General features: G+C 36.2%; 1 annotated feature.

Annotated features, from left to right (window-relative positions):
• Positions 373-506: a silencer, noted in NCBI's record as "fragment chrX:75329968-75330101 (GRCh37/hg19 assembly coordinates)". NCBI's record gives its function as "represses an EF-1alpha promoter that drives an FKBP-Casp9 reporter gene in an ReSE screen in HepG2 liver carcinoma cells {active_cell/tissue: HepG2}" and the evidence as "EXISTENCE:reporter gene assay evidence [ECO:0000049][PMID:32094911]".

Genomic DNA, 21216 nt, shown 5'->3' with positions numbered 1-21216 from the left:
TGGAGAGTACTGCCAGGCTACCACCAATGTTTACTTAAGGCCCAAGAACTCTTCAGTGACCTCATGGTGAATGCTACCAGCCTTGGGACTTACCCTTCAGGGCAGTGGGCTCTTCTTTGTCCCAGAGCAGGTCTAGAAATGCAGTTTAAGAGTGAAGTCCTGGAATTTGGGATGAGGAGGGCCCTCTTTTTTTTTTTTTTTTTGAGATAGGGCCTCATTCTGTCACTCAGGCTGAAGTGAAGTGACACAATTATGGCTCACCATAGCCTCAAAATCCCCAGGCTCAGATGATACTCGCACCTCAGCCTCATGAGTAGTTGGGACTACAGGCATGTGCCACCATGCCTGGCTAATTTTTATATTTTTTGTAGAGACAGGGTTTCACCCTGTTGCCCAGGCTGGTCTCTAACTCCTAAGCTCAATTGATCTGCCCAGATCGGCCTCGTAATGTGCTGAAATTACAAGAGTGAGTCACTGTGTCCGGCTTCCACCTCTTGGTGCTCTATCCTACTGTGGCCGAGCTCGGACCTGATATTTTTGTTGTTATGAACGTGTATTTTTGTGTAGACAGTTTTTAAATTTGATGTTCCATCAGTGTGGATGAATGGTGGAGGCTTCTATTCAGCCATCTTCCTCTGACCCGCTTCCTCCATTTTATTTCTGTAGCTACAGAGAAACCAAAGTCTCAAGAGAAATATCAAGTATTTTCAACTTCTTGTTTATTTGGGGCATATCTGCTGCAGTGGACTTTGGTTAAGGAAATAATTTCTTAGTTGCTTTTTACATACTTTTCTGTAGATGGCAGCAGAGCATCCCCGCCCCCCCCCCCCCGCCAAAAAACAAAGAAACAAACAAAAAAAAGTCCTCCTCCACCCTTTGTGTTAAAAAAAAAAAAAGAAAAGAAAAAGAAAAGAATGAAAAAGGAGTGGGTGTATTTCTGCTGTCTTGAATGCTGGAAACCTACGTTGAAAAATATGCTGTTAAAATGTGTTTGCCAAATTGTGAGATGAAAAAGATTAATTTTTTAAAAAAAAATGGTCTTTTAAGGGCTGGGGATGGGATTGCATTAGGAGAAATACCTAATGAAAATGACGAGTTGATGGGTGCAGCAAACCAACATGGCACATGTATACCTATGTAACAAACCTGCGCCTTGTGCACATGTACCCTAGAACTTAAAGTATAATAAAAAATAAATAAATAAATAAATAAAAGTATTTTAAAATTGTTGGGTTGAATTTACCTTTACACGTTTTTATTGGCTTTTTTCCCCTCTAATTTATATTTTTATTTCTATTGTTCATTTTTCTGTTGGGAGTTTTAAAAGATAATTTTTTGCCATAATAAACATAATACATCTCATTTAAAAAATTAGAAATTTCAGAAATGTTGTAAAAGAGATAGCAACATTCAGAGGCTACCACTATTAAAATTTTGATATGTCTCCCCATTCTATGCTGGTGTTTTGGTGGGACATTTTGAGGTTAAAATTATATGTTTTGTCTGATTTTGCTTTCTAATTTTTAATTAAATTAATATTATGACCCTCTGTATCTCAATAAATACTTTTCTTAATATCCTTTAAAATAATTCAGTTAAAATTTTTAAGATAATGCATATCTATCATTTTTGTAAATTATTGTTACTATTTATATTTGTCCAGATAAAAAAAAATTGTTTTTGAGACAGAGTCTCCCTCTGTCACCCAGGCTGGAATGCCAGATTAAATTTTGAATTACTTTTCCAACCCTTCCCTCATTAAGGATTTTTAAAACTCACGTTGTTTGAAATCTATATATTAATTTGAGAAGTAACATCTTCCAAATAATTAGTTTTCTGATTCAAGAATGTAGCTTGTTCTTTTATTGATTTAACTTCTTTATATTCTCCAGTAATGTTTCACCACTTGTTCCATGTGATTGCAGAATATTTCTTTTTAAACATATTTCTAGTAGTTTCTATTTTCCTCATAGTGACGAGAAAGTGATTTAACAATGAGTGAGGAAAATAAAGGCTCATTAACTTCCTCATATAATGGAATGGTTAACATGTTGTAATCCATTATACACTTTATGGAAATGTTTTTAAGTAATACATGGTTATTGTTGGAACATTGGACAATATATAAAAGCAAAAAGAAAACAAGAAGACAAAAATTATCAATGATCTCAAATCTCATTATTATGAAATATTGGTATATTTCCTTCTGGCTCTTTTTGTGTTCCTCTATTTTCTTGTTTGTGCTTCTAATTGTACAATTATACATGGAAACATGCTTCTTCTAAAAAATTCAAATAATTCAGAAAAATATAAAGCTAGGGAATAAATCATAAAAGAAAGTTTCTCCTTCACCAAACCCATTTCTCCATACCCCCATCCAGGCAAGCAGTATTGATTGTTCAATAGTTCAATGTGTATTTTTATGTTTTTCTATGCATTCATACACAGATACATAATGCACACATACACATACATTTTTTGTTGCCTAATTCATAGTTATTTTTATGACTATATCATGTTTGTATGAAAACAATTTGCATTCTTTTTATTTAGTACCAAGATCTCCATGTAGCTATTAAACCAGGGTTGTTAATTATTTTATTGAAGTCCTTTTTATTCTTATTTTTTTACTTGATCCGTTGACTTGTGAAAAAACTATTAATTTATTCAACAAATATTTATGGAGTCCCTGTCACTTGCTAGGAACTGCTGTAACCCCTAGAGATATAGAAGTGGACAAAATAAACAAAAATTCCCATCTTTATGGAATGTATATTTCGAAACAATTAACTATTTACTTCCACCATTGGTGTATGAATGTGATCATTTTATCCTTGCTGGCATTCGTGATTATTATTTTTAAAATATCTTTGTGTGTTTGGTAAAAATAAATTCATGTTCTTTGTTTTAATTTGCATATCTTTAATTAACAGTGAGATTAAGCATTTCCATGCATTTTTAGCAATTGTGCTTTCTCAACATAAATTCTCTATTGTAAGACCTTTTCCAGTTTGTCATTACACATTCCATTTTCATACACTTTTTATTTATTATTATTTATAAGTAATGTAAATATTATAGAAAAGATGCCAGAATAGTACAAATAACTCCTATATTCTCTTTGTTCAGACTGATTAAGAGCTTGCCACATTTGTTTATTACTCTCTATTTACATATTGCTATATCTCTCTCTTTGTCTATCATCTATCTATCTTTGCTGAACCATTTGAGGTTAAGTTACATACTTCATAGTAACTTTTAAATAATTTTATTATTTTCAAAAACAGGGGCAGTCAATTATATAATAAGCACAGTTCAGTTTTCAACTTTAGGACATTTAACACTTTATATTACCAATGGTATTTTATTTTTTTGAATTGACCTGAAAATAATATTGATAACAGTTTCTTTATACTTTTCATGATCATATATTTCAAATACCTGTCATATCTTCTTGGTGTCTTTTAATCTGGAAAAATCCCTAAACCTTTTAGGTTATAAATCCTGTGTAACAACACTACAAAAATAATTTCATATTATGACCACAAACTTTTGTTTTACAACTGTATTGAGGTATAATTTACAAACAATAAACCCACTTATTTTATGTATATATTAATGAGTTCTGGTAAATATATATAATTGTGCAACCACCACCATAACCAGATTTAAAACACCCCAAAAGTTCTTTTCTATTTACAGTCAATCTTTTTCTTCACCAGTGCCCAATAACGACTAATCATTGGCTGTCTGTCTCCATAGCTTTTCCATAGCTTTTCCTTTTCTAGGATTTCTTATACGTGCAATCATACAGTATATAAACTTTTGTGTTTTGCTTTTTTCACTTAGCAAAATGTTTTTTTTATTTCATCCATGTTGTAGCACAGATCATTACTTTGTTTCTTATTCCACTGTATGGATATACTACAAGTTGTTTATCCATTCACTGGCTGATGGAAATTTGAGCTGTTTCTACTTTTTGTTTACTATGGATAATGTTGGTATAAACATTCTTTTTTAAATTTTTGTCTGACATGTGTTTTTATTTCTCTTGAGTTTATACCTAGAAGTGGAATTGCTGTGTTATAAGGTAACTCTATGTTTAACATTTTGAAAGACTGCAGTACTGTTTCAAATTGGTTGCACCATTGTACCAGCAATGAATGAGAATTTCTATTTCACAGCATCCGCACCAGCATTTGTTATTGTCAGTCTTTGGATATCAGCTGTCTCAGTGGGTATAAAGTAGTACCTCTTTGTATATCTTCTTGGACAATATCTACATGGATCCTTTGCCCATTTTAAATTGTGTTATTTGTCTCTATTATTTAGTTTTAATATTTGTGTATTCTTTATATAGTTTGGACAATAATTTTTAGAAAAGTTACATAGTGTCAAAGCCTATTCACATCACCCTAATCACATCGTAGAACATTTTCCTATTCCCAATAAGATACCTAGATTTCATTTGCATTTAATCTGTGTCCCTAGATTTGCCTTTATGGGATATTTTATGTCAATGGAATCATACAATAAGTGGTATTTTGTGTCTGGCTTTTTTTTTTACTAAACATAATGTTTCTGAGATTCATCAATTTTACAACATATATTAAAATTTCATTTTTTGGGGGTGGGGGATGGAGTCTCGCTCTGTTTCCCAGGCTCAAGCAATCCTTTTGCCTCAGTCCTACTAGTAGCTGGGATTGCAGGCGTGTGCCACCATGCTCAGTTAATATTTGTATTTTTAGTAGAGACAGGGTTTTGCCATGTTGGCCAGGCTGGTCTCGAACTCCTGACCTCAGGTGATCCAACTGCTTCAGCCTCCCAAAGTGCTGGGATTACAGGCATGAGTCACCATGCCCATCCCAAAATTTCAGTTTTTATAGCTGAATAATGTTCCATTATGTAGATGTAGGATATTTTATTTATCTGTTGGGCTGGTCCACTTTTGGCTATTACATATAATGTTCCAATTAACATTCATGAATAAATTGTTTTTGGCAACTGGCTTTATTGAGATATAATTTAGATATCAAATTTACCCATTAAAGTGTAGAATTCGATGGTTTTCAATATATTTGCACTTTTTATGTATAGTCATTACAACAATCAACTTTAGGGTTCTTTATTTTGTAATTTTTACAACTTACAATCGTTTTGCTGGGAAGGGTCTTCAAGGTTTTTAGTGGCACCATCCTGCAAGTGGAATCCTTAATCCAGTAAAATATCTTTGCATTAAAAATTTATCATATTTTAAATAATAGCGACATAATGGAATAAAACTAAATGTCCAACAGCAAGAGAATGGTGAAATGAAGGATTAAACTACTCAAGTAATGTTTAAATAAAGTCATATGGGAATAATTTAAAAATTGACAGGTGGCTAAGGAGGAGGTGGTGAAGCAAGATGACCAAATTTAGCCCTCCAGTGATCAACCTCAGCTGCAGGAACACCAGATTCAACAACTATCCACAAAAAGCACCTTCATAAGAAGGAAAAATCGGGCAATACCTGGTTTTAACATCATGTTAAAGAAAAAAGCACTGAAAAGCGTAGAAAAGACAGCCTTGAATTGCAGACACCACTCTTGCCCCATCCCCTGGCAGCAACCATGTGACAAGGAGAGGGAATCTGTGTGCTTGGTGGAGACAGCACAGTGATTATGGGTCTTTGCATTGGAACTCTTTGCTGCCCTGTCACAGCAGAAAGCAACACAGGGTAGAAATCATCCAGCACCCACAGAGGGAACATTTAGATCAGCACTAGCCAGAGTGGAATCATCCATTCCAGTGGTTGAAACCTGAGTTTCGGCTAGCCTCACCACCATGGGCTAATGTGCTCTAGGGTCCTACATAAACTTGAAAGGCAGTCTAGGCCACAAGTACTGCAATACTTGGGCAAGTTCTGGTATTTTGCTGGGCTCAGAGCCAGTAGACATGGAGTACATGCCAACTAGGGAGACACTAGCAAGGGCAGACAAAGAAGTGCATGCATCACCCCTCCCCTAACCCCAGGAAGCACAGATCACAGCTCCAAGAGAAACTCCTGCTTCAGCAGAGGAGAGGAGAGAGTGAAGAAGACTTTGTCTTGCAACTTGGATACCAGCTCAGCCATAATTGGACGGGGCAACAGGCTCTGTCCCGAGTCCCTAATTTCAGGCCCTAGTTTCCAGATGACATTTCTAGACACATCCTGGGTGACAGGGAAGCCTGCTGCCTTGAAGGGAAGAACCCAGTCCTGGCAGGATTTATAATTTGCCAACTAAAGAGTCCTTGGGCTTTGAATAAATGTAAGCAGCTCCCAGGGAGTCCTTGCTTTGAGCCTTGGATGAGACAGGGCCATGCTGACTTCAGGTGTGACCCAGCATGTTTCCAGCTGTTTGGGGGCCACAGGAAGACACTACTTCTGCTTGAGGAAAGAAGAAAAAAGAGTAAAGGGTATTTCTTTCTTAAAGTTTGGGCACCAGCTCATCCACAGTAGGGTAGAGCACCTAGTCTCCTGGAGAACCTGATTCCAGGCCTAGGCTCATGGATGGCATGTCTAAGTCTTTCCTGGGCCAGATGGGAGCTTGCTGCCCTTAAGGTAGAGACAGAGGCCTGGCAGTATTTGCCACAAGGTGAATGAAGAGCTTTAGGACCTTGAGTGAACATCAGCAGCAGACTAGTATTACCTGATGTGGGCCTAGGGTGGTGGTGACCATGGGGAGAGACCCCTCCTGTAGGACAAAAGGAGAGAAAGGAATAGGAAGTACTTTGTTTTATGGCTTGGGTGCCAGCTCAGCAGTGGTAGAGTACAGCACCAAGCAGATTCCTAAGGTTTCCAACTTCAGGTTCCTGGCTCCCAGATGGTATTTCTGGGCCAGAAGGGAGTTTGCCCCCCTAAAAGGAAGGATACAAACTTGGCTGGATTAGCCACCTGCTGATTTAGGAGCCATTATACATTAAGTGAACATGAGGGGTAGCCAGGCAGTGGTCACCATGGGCCCTGGGTGAGACCCACTACTGTGATAGCTTTGGGTCTGGCCCAGAGCAGTCCTAGTGGTGGTGGCTGCAAGAGTGCTTGTTTCACCATTTTCCCAGCTCCAGGCAGCTCAACATAGAGAGAGAGATTCCATTTGTTTGGGTGACAGTCTCCTGATTTTCATCCCAAAGAAGAGGACAAGAGTCTGCCTGTTAACCCAGGAAATTCTCTCAGATCTTACTCAAGAACACCACGGCAGTACAACTGTAAGTCTGCAAGAGTCACAGTGTTAGTGAACTTGGGGTGCCCACTAATGGATATACAGTTGAAGTGACCAAAGATTTAGATTGTAATACTCAATTTCCTTTGGATACTTGAAAAGACTTCCCAAGTAAAACAGGTACAAATAAGGCCAGGCTCTGAAGACTACAATAAATACCTATTTAATTCCCAGACATTGACAAACATTCATAAGCATCAAGATCAACCAGGAAAACCTTGACCTCACCAAATGAACTAAATAAAACACCAGGGACCAATCCTGAAGAGACAGAGATATGTGACTTTTCAGATAGAGAATTCAAAATATCTATTTTGAGGGAACTCAAAAAATTCAAGATAACACAGAAAAGGAATTTATAATCCTATCATATAAATTTAATAAAGACTTTGAAATAATTAAACTCAAACAGAAAATATGGAGCTGGAAAATTCAATTGACATACTGAAGACTGTATCAGAGTGTTAATAGCAGAATTGCTATTAAGCAGAAGAAACAACTAGTGAGCTTGAATACAGACTATTTGAAAATACACAGTCAAGACTGGGCACAGTGGCTCTCGCCTGTAATCCCAGCACTTTGGGAGGCCAAGGTAGGACAGAAAAAGATATTTCATGCAAATAGAAATTTAAAAAAAAGACAGAGAGTAGCTATACTTATATAAGATAAAATAAATTTTGAGACAAAACCTATAAAACAAGACAAAGACTGTCATTATATAATAATAAAGGGGTAAATTCAGCAAGAGAACATAACAATTGTGAATATATATTTACCCAACACTGGAGCACTCAGATCTAAAAAGCAAATATTATAACTAAAAAGAGAGATAGACTCCAATACAGCAATAGCTGGAGACGTCAACACCCCACTTTTAGCATTGGAGAGTCCTTCCAGACAGAAAATCAACAAAGAGGTATCAGACCTAATCTGCACTATAGGCCTAGTGATCTAATAGATATTTATAGAACATTTTATCCAATGGCTGCAGAAAACACATGTATCTTCTCAGCACATGAATCATACTCAAAAGTAGAGCATATGTTAGGCCACAAAACAAACCTTAAAACATTAAAATAATTGAATATCAACTATCTTCTCTGACCAAAATAAAATAAATCTAGAAATAAATAATAAGAGGAACACTGGAAATTAAACAAACACATAAACAATATGCTCTTGAAGGACCAGTGCATCAAAGAATAAATTACTAAGAAAATTAGAAAGTCTTTTAAAACAAATGAAAATGGAAACACAACATACCAAATCCTATGGAATACAAAGAAAGCAGTACTAACAGTATACTTTATATCAATAAGTGCCTATATAAAAAAGTAGAAACCTTCAAGTAAAAAACATAATGATGCATTTGAATAAACTAAAAAAGCAAAAGCCAAGCAAACTCAAAATTAGTGGACAGAAAAGAAATTATAATGATCAGAGCAGAAATAAATAAAATTTAAACAAAAAATACAAAAGATCAATGAAATAAAAAGTTTGGTTTTGGAATAAAGAAAATTTAGCAACCTATAGGAAGAATAAGAAAAAAAGAGAGCAGACCAAATTCACTAAGATCAGAGATGGAAAAGGAGACATTACACCTGATATTGCAGAAATTCAGAGGATTGAGACTACTATAAGTAACTATATGGCAACAAATTGGAAAACCTAGAAGAAATGGATAAATTTCCAGATGCATACAACCTGCCAATATTGAACCATGAAGCAATTCAAAAACCTGAACAGACCAATAACAAGTAATGAGATGGAAGCCATAATAAGAAGTCACTGACTAGACAGAAGCCTAAGACCCATTGGCTTCACTGCTGAATTCAACCAAACATTTAAAGAAGAACTTATACCGATTCTATTTAAAGTGTTCCAAAAAACAGAGAAGTAGATACTTCAAAACTCATACTATGAGGCCAGTATTACCCTGATACGAAAGCAAAAAATGACACATCAAAAAATAAAACTGATAAATATTAATGCAAATTTTCTCAACAAAATACTAGCAAACCGATTTCAGCAACACATTAAAAAGATTATTTATTATGTTCAAATGAAATTTATCCCGGGAATCCAAGCATGGTTCAACATATGCAAATCAATTAGTGTGTTACTTTATGTCATTTGGATGAAGGACAAAAACCATATGGCTATTTCAGTTGATGCTGAAAGAGCATTTGATAAAATTCAGCATCCCTTCAAAACCCTGAAAAAATGGGTAAAGGCAGAGCATGCCATAACACAATAAAAGCCATATACAACAGACCCATAGCTAGTACCATACTGAATAGGCAATAACTAAAAGCCTTTTCTGTAAGACCTAGAAGAAGACAAAGATGCCCGTTTTCACCACTGTTATTCAACATAGCTCTGAAAGTCCTACCTGGAACAATAAGGAAAGAGAAAGAAATAAAAGTCATCTAAATTTAAAATGAAGAATTCAAATTATCCTTGTTTGCAGATGATATCATCTTATATTTGAAAAAAAACCTAAAAACTTCACCAAAAAGTATTAGAACTGATACACTAAGTAAATTTGAAAAATACAAAATCAACATACAAAAAGTAACAGTATATGCCAACAGCAAACAATTTGAACAAGAAATCAAAAGTATTCACAATTATAATAGCTACAAAAAATGAAATATTTAGTAATAAACTTTCCCGAACTAGTGAAAGTTTTTTAAAATGAATACTATAAAACACCGATGAAAGAAATTTAAGAGGGTACGAAATAATGGAAACATATTCTATGTTCATACATTGGAAAAATCAATGTTGCCAAAATGTCCACACTACCCAAAGCGATCTACATATTCAATACAATCTCTGTCAATATACCAACAACATTCTTCACAAAAATTAAAAAAAAATTTAAATTTATATGAAACTACAAAAGACCCAAAATTGAGCAACAACAACAACAACAACAACAACAAACCAAAATGGAAGCAATCACATTACAAGACTTTAAACTACACAGCGATTGTCATCAAAACAGTAGAGTACTGGCATAAAAACAGACACATAGACAAATGAAACAAAATAGAGAACTCAGAACAAATCCATACATCTACAGTGAACTCATTTTCAACAAAGTTACCGAGAACATACATTGGGGAAAAGACAGTTTCTTCAATAATTGGTGCCTGGAAAACTGGATATCCATATGCAAAAGAATAAAACTAGACCCCTGTTTCTTGCCATATACAAAAGTCAAATCAAAATGAAGACATACATAAACCTAATACCTAAAACTATAAGACTACAAGAAAGCATTGGGGAAACTCTTCAGGACATTGGTCTGTACAAATATTTATTAAGAAATACACCACAGACATGGGCAACCTAAGTAAAAGTGGACAAATTTGATCAAATCAAGTTAAAAGTCTTCCGTATAGCAAAGGACACAATCAACAAAGTGAAGAGACAGTCCACAAAATGAAAGAAAGTATTAGCAAACTACCCATGTTACAAGGGATTAATAACCAGAATATATAAGAAGTTCAAACAACTCAATAGAAGAAGTCAAATAATCCAATTAAAAAATGAGAAAAATATCTGAATAGACATTTCTCAAAAGAAAATATACAGATTGCAATCAAGTATATATAAAGGTACTAAACATTTATCATTAGTGAAATGCAAATCAAAACTACAATTAAATGTTAATCTCACCTAAGTAAAAATCACTTTTTTAACCAAAAGGCAGACAATAACATATGCTATTGAGGATATGCAGAAAAGGGAATCCTCTTACACTGTTGGTCAGAATGTAAATTAGTACAGCCACTATTGAGAATAATATGGAATTTCTTCACAAAACCTAAAGATAGAACAACTATATCATTTAGTAATGCCACAACTGTGTATTTACCCAAATTAAGAGAAAACAGTATGATGAAAAGATAACTGCACTCTCTTGTTTACTGCAGCACTATTCACAGCAGTTAAGAATTAGAAGAAACCTAAATTTCCATCAACAAATGAATGGATAAAGAAAATGTTTTTTGTTCTTGCAATAGTTTACTGAGAATGATGTTTTCCAATTTCATCCATGTCCCTACAAAGGACATGAACTCATTGGGAGATATACCTAATGCTAGATGACGAGTTAGTGGGTGCAGTGCACCAGCATGGCACATGTATACATATGTAACTAACCTGCACAATGTGCACATGTACCCTAAAACTTAAAGTATAATAATAAAAAAAAGTTTTATAAATACAAAATGGAGTATTATTCAGCCATACAAAAAGAATGACATTTTTATTTGTAACAACATGGATGGAATAGTAGGACATCATGTTAAGTGAAATAAACTAGGAAAAGAAAGACAGACTTCACGTATTTTCACTTATTTTGGGGGAACTAAAAATTAAAACAATTGAACTTATGAAGACAGAAGAATGAAGGTTACCAGAGGCTAAAAAGAGTAGTGTGGTGGTGGGAGATGTGGGGATGGTTAATGGGTACAGAAATATATTTAAATAAAATAAAGAAGACCTAGTATTTGACAGCACAACAGGGTGACTGCAGTCAACAATAATTTATTTCCTATTTTAAAGTAACTAAAAGGGTATAATTGAAATGTTAATACACAAAGAAATGATAAATACTTGAAGTGATAGATACCCCATTTAACCTGATATGATTGTCACATATTGTATGCCTACATCAAAATATCTTATGGGCCCCATAAATACATATACTTACTATGTACTCAAAAAAATTAAAAATCTCCATATATATAACCATATAAATAGTGTGGTTCTAATCACATTAAATATATAACATTCATGTTATTATTTAGGAAAAATACTTCAAATAGTTATCTATACGTTGAGAAAATATAGATTATTTTCTTTTAGTTTTAGTGGTCTAGGTTTTTTAAGTTTTAAATGAAACTCATAAATTATTCTACAAATCACAAAAAAGTCTATTTAGAAAAATATTTATGACAAATCATTTAAAAAATAAGAGAACATTTATAGTGTGCTAAATATAAAAAGTATACAGCCCACTGTTATCTACTATGATTACAACCCTATGAAAATATATAGGTAGATATAAAAAAATTCCTGGAAAGTATACACTATGTTGAGAATTACATAAAATATTTATTAAATATCTAGAATTAGAGATATAATCATAGACATTAAGGATACAATGGTAGGCTAATTTAAGGATAAAGCATTAGGGTGATTTTAGTTTTTCAATAATTATTTGTTTTCCAAAACTTAAAAATCAGCATATATTAGTATTACAATGACAATAAAAGTAATACAATTAACTCCATTAGAAACAAGAGCAAATGATATAAGGATACAATTCAGAGAAGAAATATTAGTATCTAAAAAACCTATTAAAATTTATTCTGCCTCAGTAGCAATTAAATAATTCATGTTTAAATATATATTTAAACATAAATATATTTAAACATATATATAACATTTCTCCATATGGCTTGGCAAAATTTTTTTTTAAATATTGTGGTAAAAAACACACATAATCTCTACTCTCTTCACAAACTTTCAGGTGTACACTATTGTAAAGTGTAAACACAATATTGTACAGCAAACCTTTAGAACTTTTTTATTCTAGGAAGTTCTTTTATATTTTAGAAAGTAAAGTGGTGAAACTTTATACCCCTTGAAGAGCAGCTCCTCATTTTTCTCTCCTCCCAGTCTCTGACTAACACCATTTTACTTTCTGCTTCTATTACTTTAATTACTTTAGGTACACCATATAAGTGGAATCATGCAGTATTTATCTTTCTGTGCCTGAATTATTTTATTTAGCTTAATATGTTCCAGGTTTATTCATGTTGACAAAATAACAGAATTTCCTTCTTTTAAAGAGCTGTACACAGACAGACAGACAGATACACACACATGCACACACACAGTTATTGGGTTATAAAAGTTTCTTATGTATTCTGAAGATTAACCCATTATCAGATATATGATTTGCAAATATTTTCTCTGGTTTAAAGGTTGCCATTTCAACTTGCTGATTTTCTCTTTTGCAGTGTAGAAGCTTTTTATTTTATGCAGTCTCACTGATCTATTTTTGCTTCTCTTGCCTTTGCTTTTGGTGTCGTAGCTATGAAATAATTGCTAAGATCAATGGCATGAAGCTTTCTTCCTGTGTTTTCTTCTAAGAGTTTTATAGTTTTGGGTCTTATGTTTAAATTTTTAATCCATTTTGAATTGATTTGTGTGTGTGGTACTAGGGTATAATTTCATTTTTTTTTTTGCATTTAGAAATCAAGTTTTCCCAGTTCCATTTGTAGAAAAAGCTAGCTTTTTCTTCCTATTGTGTATAACTAGCACCCTTGTCAAAGATCAGCTGACCATATGTATGCATTGATTTGTTTCTGGGCTTTCTGTTCTATTCCGTTGATTCATGTGTCCATTTTTATGCCAGTACTGCAATGTTTTGATTACTGTAGTTTTGTAATATGTGTTGAAATTAGGAATTGTGAGGCTTCCAAGTTTGTTCTTTCTTAAGGGTCTTTTGGCTCTTCACTCTTTTGTGGTTTTATATAAATTTTAAGATTTTTGTGTGTGTGTGCAAAACATGTCTTTGGGATTTTGATATGGATTTGACAAAATTTAACAGTTTTTATGATAGAAACATTCAACAGACTAAAAATAGAAGGAAATTACTTCAACACCATAAAAGCCAAATAGGAAAAGCTTACAACTAACACACTGAATGATGAAGCTGAAATTTTTCCTGTAAGATCAGGAGTAAGGTAAGGATGTTCACTCTAGCCACTTCTGTTTACATGGTACTGGTTTTCCTAGCTAGAGCAAATAGGCAAGAAAGAAAGAAAGAATTGCAATCAAATCATATAGAAAAAGTAATATTATCTCTGTTCACAAATTACATAATCTTATGTAGAAAACACTAAAGATGCTACCCTAAAAACTATTAGAACTAATAAATGAATTTGGCAGTGTTGTACGATAGAAAACGAACATAAAAAAATTAGCTGCATTTCTATGCACTAACAAGGAACAATCTGAAAAAGAAATTAAGAAAACAATTCTATTTAAAATAACAGAAAAGGGGGGATCTGGCAAGATGGCCAAATAGGAACTACTCCAATCTGCAACTCCCAGTGAGACCAACACAGAAGGTACATGATTTCTGCATTTCCAATTGAGGTACCCAGCTCATCTCTTTGGGACTGATTAGACAGTGGGTGCAGCCCATGGAGGGTAAGCAGAAGCAGGATGGGGTGTCGCCTCACCCAGGAAGTGCAAGGGGTCAGGAAACTCCCTCCCCTACCCAAGGGAAGCCATGAGGGACTGTGCTGTGAGGCACGGTTATATCTGGCCCAGATACTACACATTTCCCATGGTTTTTCAACCTGCAGACCAGGAGATTCCCCCGGATGTCTACACCACCAAGTCCCTGGGTTTCAGGAACAAAACTGGGCAGCCATTTGGGCAGACCCTGAGCTAGCTGCAGAAATTTTTTTTCATACCACAGTGGGGCCTGGAACACCAGCAAGACAGAACAGTTCACTCTCCTCGAAAGGGGGCTGAAGCCAGGGAGCCAAGTGGCCTAGCTTAGTGGGTCCCACCCACAAAAAGCCCAGCAAGCTAAGATCCACTGGCTTGAAATTCTCGCTGCCAGCACGGCAGTCTGAAGTAAACATGGTATGCTTCAGCTTGGTGAGGGGAGGGGCATATGCCATTACTGAGGCTTGACTAGGCAGTTTTCCCCTCACAGTGTAAACAAAGCTGCCAGGAAGTTCGGATTGGGCAGAACCCACTCCAGCCTGGCAAAGCCACTGTAGTGAGACTGCCTTTCTAGATTTCTCCTATCTGGTCAGAGCATTTCTGAAAGAAAGGCAGCAGCCCCAGTCAGGGGTTTATAGATAAAACTCCCATCTCCCTAGGAGAGAGCACCTGGGGGAAAGGGTGGCTGATGGGCACAGCTTCAGCAGACTTAAACATCCCTTCCTGCCAGCTCTGAAGAGAGCAGTGAATCTCCCAGCACAGTGCTCGAGCTCTGCTAAGGGAAAGACTGCCTCCTCAAGTGAGTCCCTGACCCCATGCCTCCTGACTGGGAGACATTTCCCAGCAGAGGTTGACAGACACTTCAAACTGGAGAGCTCTGGCTGGCATCAGGTGGGTGCCATCCTGGGATGAAGCTTCCATAGAAAGGAGCAGGCAGCAATCTTTGCTGTTCTGCAGACTCTGCTGGTGATACCTAGGCAAACAGGGTCTAGAGTGGACCTCGAGCAAGTTCCAGCAGACGTGCAGAAGAAGGGCCTGACTGTTAGAAGGAAAACTAACAAACAGAAAGCAATAACATCAACATCAACAAAAAGGACGCACACACAAAAACCCAATCCAAAGGTTTTCAGCATCAAAGATCAAAGGTAGATAAATCCATGAAGATGAGGAAAAACCACCACAAAAATGCTGAAAATTCCAAAAACCAGAATGCCCCTGCTTCAAAGTATTACAACTCCTCTCCAGCAAGGGAACTAAACTGGATGGAGAATGAATGAGATTGATGAATTGACAGAAGTACGCCTCAGAAGGTGCATAATAACAAACTCCTCTGAGCTAGAGGAGCATGCTGTAACCCAATGCAAGGAAGCTAAGAACCTTGATAAAAGGTTACAGGAACAGTTAACTAGAATAACCAGTTTAGAGAAGAACTTAAATGGCCTGATGGAGCTGAAAAACACAGCACGAGAACTTTGTGAAGCATACACAGGTATCAGTAGCTGAATCAATCAAGTGGAAGAAAAGATATTAGAGATTAAAGATCAACTAAATGAAATAAAGCATAAAGACAAGATCAGAAGAAAAAGAAAGAAAACGAAGGAATAAAGCCTCCAAGAAATGTGGGACTATGTGAAAAGACCAAATCTATGATTGATTGGTGTACCTGAAAGTGACAGGGAGAATAGAACCAAGTTGGAAGACACAATTTAGGATATTATCCAAGAGAGCTTCCCCAATTTAGCAAGATAGGTCAACATTCAAATTCAAGAAATACAGAGAACACCACTAAGCTACTCCTTGAGAAAAGCAACCCCAGGACACATAATTGTCAGATTCACTGAGACTGAAATGAAGGAAAAAATGTTTAGGGCAACCAGAGAGAAAGGTCAGGGTACTCACAAAGGAAAGCCCATCAGACTAACAGCGGATCTCTTGGCAGAAACCCTACAAGCCAGAAGAGAGTGGGAACCAATATTCAACATTCTTAAAGAAAAGAATTTTCAACCCAGAATTTCATATCCAGCCAACTAAGCTTCATAAGTGAAGGAGAAATAAAATCCTTTACAGAAAAGCAAATGCTGAGGGATTTTTGTCACCACCAGGCCTGCCTTAAAAGAGATCCTGAAGGAAGCACTAAATATGGAAAGGAAAATTTGTTACCCACCACTGCAAAAACATACCAAAATAAGAACCAACGACACTGAAGAAACTGCATCAACTAATGTGCAAAATAACCAGCTAGCATCATGGTGACAGGATCAAATTCACACATAACACTATTAATTTTAAATGCAAATGGGCTAAATGCCCCAATGAAAAGACACAGCCTGGCAAATTAGATAAAGAGTGAAGACCCATCAGTGTGCTGTATTCAGGAGAACCATCTCACGTGCAAAGATGCACATAGGCTCAAAATAAAGGGATGCAGGAATGTTTACCAAGCAAATGGACAGAAAAAAAAAGGCAGGGGTTGCAATCCTAGTCTCTGATAAAACAGACTTTAAACTAACAAAGATCAAAACAAAAAAGACAAAGAAGGGCATTACATAATCTTAAAGGGAACAATGCAACAAGAAGAGCTAAATATCCTAAATATATATGCACCCAATACAGGATCACCCATATTCTTTTATTTTTTATTTTATTATTATTATTATTATTATTATTATTATTATTATTATTATTATTATTATTTGAGATGGAGTTTCACTCTGTTGGCCAGGCTGGAGTGCAGTGGCACGGTCTCGGCTCACTGCAACCTCCACCTCCGAGGTTCAAGCAATTCTCCTGTCTCAGTTTGCTGAGTTGCTGGGACTACAGGTACCTGCCACCATGCCTGGCTAATTTTTGTGTTTTTAATAGAGACGGGGCCGGGCGCGGTGGCTCACGCCTGTAATCCCAGCACTTTGGGAGGCCGAGGCGGGTGGATCATGAGGTCAGGAGATCGAGACCATCCTGGCTAACAAGGTGAAACCCCGTCTCTACTAAAAATACAAAAAATTAGCCGGGCGCGGTGGCGGGCGCCTGTAGTCCCAGCTACTCGGGAGGCTGAGGCAGGAGAATGGCGTGAACCCGGGAAGCGGAGCTTGCAGTGAGCCGAGATTGTGCCACTGCAGTCCGCAGTCCGGCCTGGGCGACAGAGCGAGACTCCGTCTCAAAAAAAAAAAAAAAAAAAAAAAATAGAGACGGGGTTTCACTATATTGTTCAGGCTGGTTTTGAACTCCTGATCTCATGTGATCTGCCCACCTTGGCCTCCCAAAGTGCTGGGATTACAAGCATGAGTGACTGCGCCCAGCCAGGAGCACCCATATTCTTAAAGCAAGTTCTTAGAGACCTACAAAAAGACTTAGACTCCCACACTATAGTAGTGAGGGATATTAACACCCCACTGTCAATATTATACAGATCAACGAGAGAGAAAATTAAAAAAGATATTCAGGACTTGAACTCAGCTCTGGATGAAATGGAGCTAATATACATCTACAGAACTCTCCACCCCAAATCAACAGAATATACATTCTTCTCAACACCTCACCGCACTTATTCTAAAATTGACCACATAATAGGAAGCAAAACACACCCCAGCAAATGCAAAAGAACAGAAATCATAACCAACAGTCTCTCAGACCACAGTGCGATCAAATCAGAAATCAGGTTTAAAAAACTCACTCAAAACCACACAACTACATGTAAACTGAACTACTTGCTCCTGAATGACTACTGGGTAAATAACGAAATTAAGACAGAATTAATTAAGTTCTTTGAAACCAATGGGAAAAAGACACAACATACCCGAATATCTGGGACCTGGCTAAAGCAGTGTTTAGAGAGAAATTTACAGCACTAAGTGCCCATATCAGAAAGCGGGAAAGATCTAAAATTGACACCCTAACATCACAATTAAAAGAACTAGAGAAGCAAGTGCAAACAAATTCAAAAGCTAGCATTAGGACAAAAAATAACTAAGATCAGAGTAGAACTGAAGGAGATAGAGACACGAAAAACTCTTCAAAAAATCAATGAATCCAGGAACTGGTTTTTTGAAAAGACTAACAAAATAGACTGTTAGCCAGACTAATAGAGAAGAAAATGGAGAAGAATCAAATACACCTCTCTGCAAATAAACTAGAAAATCTAGAAGACATGGAGAAATTCCTAGACATACCCCCTCCACAGACTAAACCAATGAGAAGTCAAATCCCTGAAGAGTCCAATTACAAGTTCTGAAATTGAGACAGTGATTAATAGCCTAACAAACAAAAAAAGCCTAGGACTAGACGGATTCACAGCCAAATTCTGCCAGAGGAACAAAGAGGAATTTCCTTCTGAAACTATTCTAAGCAATAGAAAAAGAGAGAAACCTCCCTAACTGATTTTATGAAGCCAGCATCATCCTGATACCAAAACCTGGCAGAGACACAGTGAAAAAAACAATTTCAGGCCAATAGCCCTGATGAACATTGATGTGAAAATCCTCAGTAAAATGCTGGCCAACTAATCCAGCAGCACATCAAAAAGCTGATCCACCACGATCAAGTCGGCTTCATCCCTGGGATGCAAGGCTGGGTCAACATACAGAAATTAATAAATGTAATCCATCACATAAAAATAACCAATGACAAAAACCACATGATTATATCAATAGATGCAGAAAAGGCCTTCAAAACAATTCAACACCCCTTCATACTAAAAACACTCAATAAACTAGGTATTGATAGAACATATCTCAAAATAAAAAGAGCTATTTATGACAAACCCACAGCCAGTATCATACTGAATTGGCAAAAGCTGGAAACATTCCCTTTGAAAACTGACAGAAGACAAGGATGTCTTCTCACCACTCCTATTCAACATAGTATTGGAAGTTCTGGCCAGGGCAATCAGGCAAGAGAAAGAAATAAAGCATATTCTAATAGGAAGAGAGGAAGTCAAATTGTCTCTGCTTGCAGATGACATGATTATATATTTAGAAAACCCCATCATCTCAGCCCCAAATCTCCTTAAGCTAGTAAGCAACTTCAGCAAAGTCTCAGGATACAAAATTAACGTGCAAAAATCACAAGCGTTCCTATCCACCAGTAACAGACAAACAGAGAGCCAAATCATGAGTCAACTGCCATTCACAATTGCTACAAAGAGAATAAAATACCTAGGAATACAACTTACAAGGAGTGTGAAGGACCGCTTCAAAGAGCACTACAAACCACTGCTGAACGAAATAAAAGAGGACACAAAGAAATGGAAAAACCTTCAATGCTCGTGGATATGAAGAATCAATATTGTGAAAATGACCTTAGTGCCCAAAGTAATTTATAGATTTAATGCCATTCTCATCAAGCTACCATTGAATTTTTTCACAGAATTAGAAAAACCTACTTTAAATTTCATATGGAACCAAAAAGGAGCCTGTATAGCCAAGACAATCTTAAGCAAAAAGAACGAAGCTGGAGGTATCATGCTACGTGGCTTCAAACTATACTACAAGGCTACAGTAACCAAAATAGCATGGTACTGGTACCAAAACTGATATATAGACCAATGGAACAGAACAGAGGCCTGACAAAAAACACTACACATCTACAACCATCAGATCTTTGACAAACCTGACAAAACAAGCAATGGGGAAAGGATTCACTGTTTAATTAATTGTGTTGGGAAAACTGGATAGCCATATGCAGAAAACTGAAACTGGACCCCTTCCTTACACCTTATATAAAAATTAACTCAAGATGGATTAAAGACTAAAATGTAAGACCTAAAACCATAAAAACCCTAGAAGAAAACCTAGCAAATACCATTCAGGTCATAGGCATCAGCTAAGACTTCACGACTAAAACACCAAAAGCAATGGCAACAAAAGCCAAAATTGACAAATGGGATCTAATTAAACTAAAGAGCTTCTGCACAGCAAAAGAAACTAGCATCAGAGTGAGCAGACAACCTACAGAATGGGAGAAAATTTTTACAATCAATTCATTTGACAAAGGGCTAATATCCAGAATCTGCAAGGAACTTAAACAAATTTACAAGACAAAACCAAACAATCCCATCGAAAAGTGGGCAAAGGATATGAACTCTTCTCAAAAGAAGACATTTATGTGACCAACAAAAATGAAAAAAGCTCATCATCACTTATCATTATAAAAATGCAAATCAAAACCACAATGTGATACCATCTCATGCCAGTTAGAATGGCAATCATTAAAAAGTCCAGAAACAACAGATGCTGGAGAGGATGTGGAGAAATAGGAATGCTTTTCCACTGTTGGTTGGAGTGTAAATTAGTTCAACCATTGTGGAAGACATTGTGGTGATTCCTCAAGGCTCTAGAACCCGAAGTACCATTTGACCCAGCAATTCCATTACTGGGTATACACTCAAAGGATTATGAATTATTTTACTATAAATACATATGCACACGTATGTTTATTGCAACACTATTTACAATGGCAAAGACTTGGAACCAACCCAAATGCCCATCAATGATAGACTGGATAGATAAACTGTGGCACATATACACCATGGAAAACTATGCAGCCATAAAAAAGAATGAGTTTGTGTCCTTTGCAGGAACATGGGTGAAGCTGGAAACCATCATTCTCAGCAAACTAACACAGGAACAGAAACCAAACACCGCATGTTCTCACTCATAAGTGAGAGTTGAACAATGAACACACATGGACACAGGGAGGGGAAGATCACACACTG

This window comes from Homo sapiens, chromosome X, assembly GCF_000001405.40.
Source record: "Homo sapiens chromosome X, GRCh38.p14 Primary Assembly".
Classification (NCBI taxonomy): domain Eukaryota; kingdom Metazoa; phylum Chordata; class Mammalia; order Primates; family Hominidae; genus Homo; species Homo sapiens.
Note: the sequence above shows the minus strand (reverse complement) of the source record. Positions and strands in the feature narration are given on the sequence as shown.